The sequence below is a fragment of the Homo sapiens genome, chromosome 11, assembly GCF_000001405.40.
Source record: "Homo sapiens chromosome 11, GRCh38.p14 Primary Assembly".
Taxonomy (NCBI): Eukaryota; Metazoa; Chordata; class Mammalia; order Primates; family Hominidae; genus Homo; species Homo sapiens.
In genome coordinates this window covers 116,503,475-116,509,020 of record NC_000011.10, presented here as the reverse complement: position 1 = coordinate 116,509,020, position 5,546 = coordinate 116,503,475, and the positions used below count along the sequence as shown (strand labels likewise).

General features: G+C 51.4%; 2 annotated features.

Moving 5' to 3' along the window:
- Positions 1,889 to 2,389: an enhancer, noted in NCBI's record as "H3K4me1 hESC enhancer chr11:116377349-116377849 (GRCh37/hg19 assembly coordinates)". NCBI's record gives its function as "activates a minimal SCP1, AML or CMV promoter by ChIP-STARR-seq in primed H9 embryonic stem cells {active_cell/tissue: H9 hESC(primed)}" and the evidence as "EXISTENCE:reporter gene assay evidence [ECO:0000049][PMID:30033119]".
- Positions 3,480 to 4,029: an enhancer, noted in NCBI's record as "H3K4me1 hESC enhancer chr11:116375709-116376258 (GRCh37/hg19 assembly coordinates)". NCBI's record gives its function as "activates a minimal SCP1, AML or CMV promoter by ChIP-STARR-seq in naive H9 embryonic stem cells {active_cell/tissue: H9 hESC(naive)}" and the evidence as "EXISTENCE:reporter gene assay evidence [ECO:0000049][PMID:30033119]".

Sequence of the window (5,546 nt, the reverse complement as noted above, 5' to 3'; positions counted from 1 at the left end):
ACAATGTTTCCACGGGGGTTACACAGCAAACCAAAACCACAATGCGAGATATTCACAAGGCAGTATTTCATTTGTTTGTCCATTCATTTAACAAACATTTGTTGAAGACCCAAACTGTGTTAGACACTGTGCTGGGTGCACTGAATGTAGGGATCAGGGAAATAGTCCATGCCTATGAGGAGCCCATGCTCTGGTGGAGGAGAAAGAGGCATGAGCAGGGATGTTCATGCGGTGTGGATGTTGGAAGCATGGGATGATGTAGGGCCAGAGATGACAGGCCTAGGATAAGGAAGGCTTCCTGGACCTCACCCCTGAGGATGGGCAGGCAGAAGTCAGCAAGCAGGAGATGGGTAGGAGAGGGAGGGAGGAGCCATGGTCAAATGCTGGGGAGAGCAGGAGCTTGCTGTCCTGGTGACAGTGGTTCTGCCAGGCTGGCACCTGGAAGGACTTAAATTCTTCAAGTCCAGTGAGTGGTGTTGAGTGTAAGTGCAGAGGAGCTTAGCAGAGAACAGAGCCCTCCTGGAGAGATCAGGAAAGGCTTCCTGGAGGAAGTGGGCTTTCAACTGCACATTGGAGGGCAAGGAGGATTAGACAGGTAAAGATGAAGGAGAAAGGCACTTGGCTCCCAGGGGCTCCCTTTGCACTGTGACATCCAAGCCCTCTGTGTCCTGGCCCAGCCCACCACTGGTGTTCTTTCCTACTGTCCCCCTTGCCACACCCTGCCCGGAGCAAACTGAGTGGCTTGTCACTCCTGTTTTTTTCAGCATCCAAGCTTTGGCTCAGGTGGTCCCTTTGCTTGGAAAATCCTTCTTTATGTTTCGGAATACGGGGACTTATTGACAGGCTTCTTCCACGAAGCCTTTCCCCTTCCCTCCACCAGAACAAAAGTCTCTTGCCCTGCTGAGTGTCCACAGCACTTTTCTCTACGGTTGTGGCTCTCCTCTGCAGCTGCCACCTGCTACCTGTGTCATAGTTATCTGGGGCATAATTCACCTCTTCCGTTGGTCTGCAGACCAGGGCTTTTGCTGGCCAGCCTAAGGCTCCCTGGGTCTCACACAAGGTCCACGTGCAACCAGTGGTGGTTGAAAGAGAGCCCCAATTGCTGGGGGCCAGAGTGAACCAAGATATGGGGGTGGGAGCCTGAAGGGACTTGGTGGGTCTGGACGTCCTGACTTAGATCCAGAGAGGACAGTAACTAGGGATGAATGGTTAGGAATCTGTGTGAATTCTTCTTATGCACATGGGATGGCTTCTGCAGGGGTAAGTGTTATACTGGGTGGCTTTCATGAGGAACGCCACCCCTGAGTGTGGGAGAGGGGTCTCACCTGACAGGTGAAGGCTTTTCTGGTGTGCAAGTCAAGCACCTGCCATTCTATCTGTTAGACTGGGGCAGTTGGCCTCTTACACTGGAATCCAGCCCTGAGTGGACAGCCCCAGTTGTGTAGAAAAGCTTAGCAGTGCCTTTTTTTGCTTTGGCTAGTAAGCAAGTAAGCTCTTCATTCATTCACACGTGCATTCATTCACTCATTCCTCAATAATTACTGCTAATGCATAGGTGCACTGATGCAGTGGGAAATAAGCTGGTGCCTGATGTTTGTATTTCCTATCTTTCTTTATGTTTTGTTTTCCTTAAACATTAAAAAAAAATCTTTCTTAAATGCCAGCTTGCCTCAGCTGCATCAAGGGGAAAGGATGGAGTTTTAAGGGCAGGCGTACACCCTGGGGGCCAACAGAGGAGAGTCAGGGGAATCCCAGCAAGTGGGGAAACCTGGGGCGGGGTGGCCCTTGGAAGGACAGAGTGGAACTGCTTCATCAGCCAGTCTTCTCACCTGAGATGCCTTCCTGAGCTCTTCTCTATAGAGCCTCTGGGCACTCTGACTTTGTCCTGCACAAGGGTCCCCTCTTTCCACGAGGCAGGGTGGTGCAGTGGTTAAAACCCAGGCTCTGGAGCTGGTACTCCTGGGCTTGCCTCTTCCCATGAACCAATTCGCTAACTTCTCTGAGATGGTCTCCCCAGGAGTGGGAGTAAGAATCATAGAGATGGTGTGTGTTTTGCCCTGACCTGGTGCACACCTCATAGTGGGTATTTGATGAGTGATGGCAGTCATTGTCATTACACAGAGATGACAAAGACAGGAGGTCCTCTTTTGTCCAGAAAGAGAGAAAAGCAAAAATGCAAAGCTAAGCGGTGTGGCCTCTCACTCATAGGCGATGGTGGGTTTGCAAGTCTTCTTTTGCCTCCTGGACCATCCCCTGTGCGCTTAGTCAACACACAACTCAGCCAGGGTGGGGCCCTGAACACAAGGAGGGCATTGTGTGGCCCATGGGAGGTTTGAACCCACAGCCTTCACTTTGTTAAAACCATAGCACGTGGAGCTTGAGGGCAGCACCAGATGCCATCCACCCCCACCCTCTCCCTGACTGTGAGGTGCCCATGGGGATATCTGGGACAGAGGATGCCCCACTGGCCTCCCGCTACCCCGCTCCAGCTTCCCTGGGTGGGAGCTCCCTTCTGTTCCCTCCCTAGGAGCATCATCCATGGCCATCCCCATGGAAACTGCCAGGGACCCTGTGGGGGAAGAAGAGAAAGATGAGGAGGGAGAATAATCAAGAATTATTTGTTTGGGGAAAGAGAAAAAGGAATGGCAAGGGAGAGTGGGAGGGAGGAAAGAGAGGAAGGCGAGGAGAAACAGAGGGGAGAGAGAAAGAGGAGAGAGAGAGAGAAAGAGGGAGAGAGAGGAGAGTCTTTTCTTTGGGGAAAAATGGAAATTTAATCAGATCAGTTTTTATAGTGCAAATAGAAAATCAGTTTTAATAAAGCCAAAAGGAAATGCAAAACAGCCGCTTGAGATGGAGATTGTGTTAAACAGACAGCTCTTTAGGAGTAGCCGAGTCTGTGATGTTTATTGTGCACAGACAGAGCAAGGAGGGGGATTTCTGGCTGAATTTCAAATAGGCATCTGATTTGGCTTTGGGGGTGGGGAAGAGCCTCTCCTCGCCCCTCCTCTCCACCCATAGGCCCATCTGTCCAGGGAAGGAAGGCTCCCAAAGTGAGAGGAGGAGAGAAGGGGACAGTGGTACCACAGGGCACATCTCCCTGACCTGGAGCAAGAGCAGCCGCCTTCCTCATCCTATGGGGTGTTGCCCCCAGCACCCCCTTGTCATGATCCCAGGACTTCCGGCCGGTCTTGCCCACTCCCTCCTACCCAAAGACAGGACTCTGCCCTCCATGGACACACCACTGTTTTTAGCTTCTGATTCTTAATTATAGTTCTGGCCCAGCTCTTGGCTTTATTGCTTTCATTTATTATAAAAAGACCAGTGTCTGTTTTTTGAAACGGCTATCTGGTCAAATCACAGTTGATAAGCAACACTGAGCTGTCTTTTTAAGACAGGCCAAATTTATCACACTTTAAAAAAAAAAAAGCAAGCCTTCGATGGCCTATTAGAAAACTTCCCCACCTTTTCCCAGAGTGACATTTTAGTAAAAGGCTTTATTTTCCTCCTCAGCTTTCACAAAGCTATCGCCTTGAAAGGGAGAGAGAGAGAGGGAGGGAGAGCGAGAGAGAGCAAGACACAGAGTACTTTTGAGGTTCCATAAAATATATGGAGAGGGCATGGAAGATAACAGGATCTGCCCTAATGGGGCTGTTAGCTTAGGAGGAAAAGAGGGGGCCGCTGGCGTGTGTTTGTCAGCTGTTATTTTTGTAATTAGAAGAGAAACTGCACTTTACATTTCAGAAACACAGCTATTTGAGGCTGCAAAGAAGATACGGGGGCCTGGGCCAGAAAGATAGGTTGGGAGGAGCAGGGGCTGGGGGAGAACAGGCAGGACCGGGCTGGTGGCTCCTGAGGTTAATGAGCTCATCTGTCACTTTTGAGGCTGGCTCAAAACTAGACAGGAACCCTGCAGGTCCCCTTCAAGAGGCTCCCCAGTCCTGGCTGGGCAGCTGATGCCACCCTGTATTCCAGGAAGGGGGTGGAGTCAAGCTGTGGGCCCGCCAAGCTGCTGGGGGCCGGGTAGCAGGGTCTTCTTGTGGCTGTGGAAGCCTCTGACCATCTGCTGGGAATGGGACAGGAACTGGGGCGAGGCCATTTCATGGGCTCAGCTAGAAGCAAATTTTCAGCCCTTGCTCTTGTAGGTTTGACTTTAGAAAGAAGGGGGGGCGTCTAAGAAACGAGGGTAGTGCTGCCCCTCCTAGAGTGGGTGGCGGTGTCCGCAGAGCAGAGCCTGTGTCTAATTCATCTGCAGACACACAGCGCCCAGGGTAGTAGAGTGTTGTGAGGACATTGGCTGGTGGAAACTGGAGGTGGCGGGAGGCTCCTCCCCCTGGCCACCCACGACCCGCACTTCTGCCCCTACTCCTTTCATCGGCTGCAAATACTATTCATTCCTCCTTTGCGTCTTCCTTTCATGCTTTCCATCCCCAGCAATATTTCCCTTCACTTCTTTCTGAACAAGATAGGTTTAATTGTTAAACAGCTCCTTCCTTTTTCTCCCCGCTGAGATCTGGGTTTCAGAGGAGTATTGTGGACAGTGGCCTCCTGCCTGCTCTGCCCACGCCCTTCTCTGTCCTAGGGTGGACACCCACAGCCTGGTGCCACTTGAGATCTCCTTCCTCTCCCTGATGCTGAGCGTCGGATTCAGCAACAATGGGGCACCTGACATCTGGCCACTTTGGGACCCAGAGAAAGCTGGATTTGCAGGAACTTGAACCACAATAATTGAGGGCCTGGTGGTGTAGTGGAAAGGGCTGGGGCTGATCTAGAAACCCAGCACTACCATCAGCTGGTTGAGCTTAGAAAAATCATTTGACTTCTCTGAGCCTTGGTTTTCTCTTCTGTAAAACGGCACAGTGTTGTTGAGAGGATTCAATAAAATAATGAGTGGAGAGCTTGTGCCACAGAGCGGAGGATTCATTCATTAACTGCTAGTTCCCCTCGCCCTGCCTGGATGGAGGCAGGCGGGCCACATCTGCCCATTGTATTCTTTTTCTCAGGGGTGAAGGCAGCTTGTGTCATGGTGGAGCTGGGCCTATAAGTCCTGGGACTCCCAGTCTAGTATCCTTGCTGTCACTCTGCTGTGTCTTTCCGTCTTCCAGTGCCATCGTGGGTAGGCCATTTTCCATTTTTCCAGGCCTCCGTTTCCTATCCCAGATGGCTTCCAAAGTGTTCCATTTCTGAAGAAGTCTGAGTCATGTGAATCCATTCTGGAACTCTCTGGATGCTCAGGCCTGTATGGTGGAAACTATGCCTAGAGGTGCTTCACCCTGCCCCGAAGTCATCATGGACTTGGATAACAGCCTTGCAGACAGGTCTCACATTACTCGAGGACTCCAACTCTCAGCTCCAAGTGAAGGGCACAGAGGAGGGGCACCAACCATCCTAGTTTGCCAGAGACTGAGGGGTTTCTCAGTATGTAGGACTTTCATTGCTAAAAGTGAGGGAGTCCTGGGCAAACCAGGCTGAGCTGGTCACCCCAGGACAGGGCTTCGGGTCTGTGAATGTTAGTTGAGGCCCTATTGTGGGTGAGGTGCTGTAGCAGG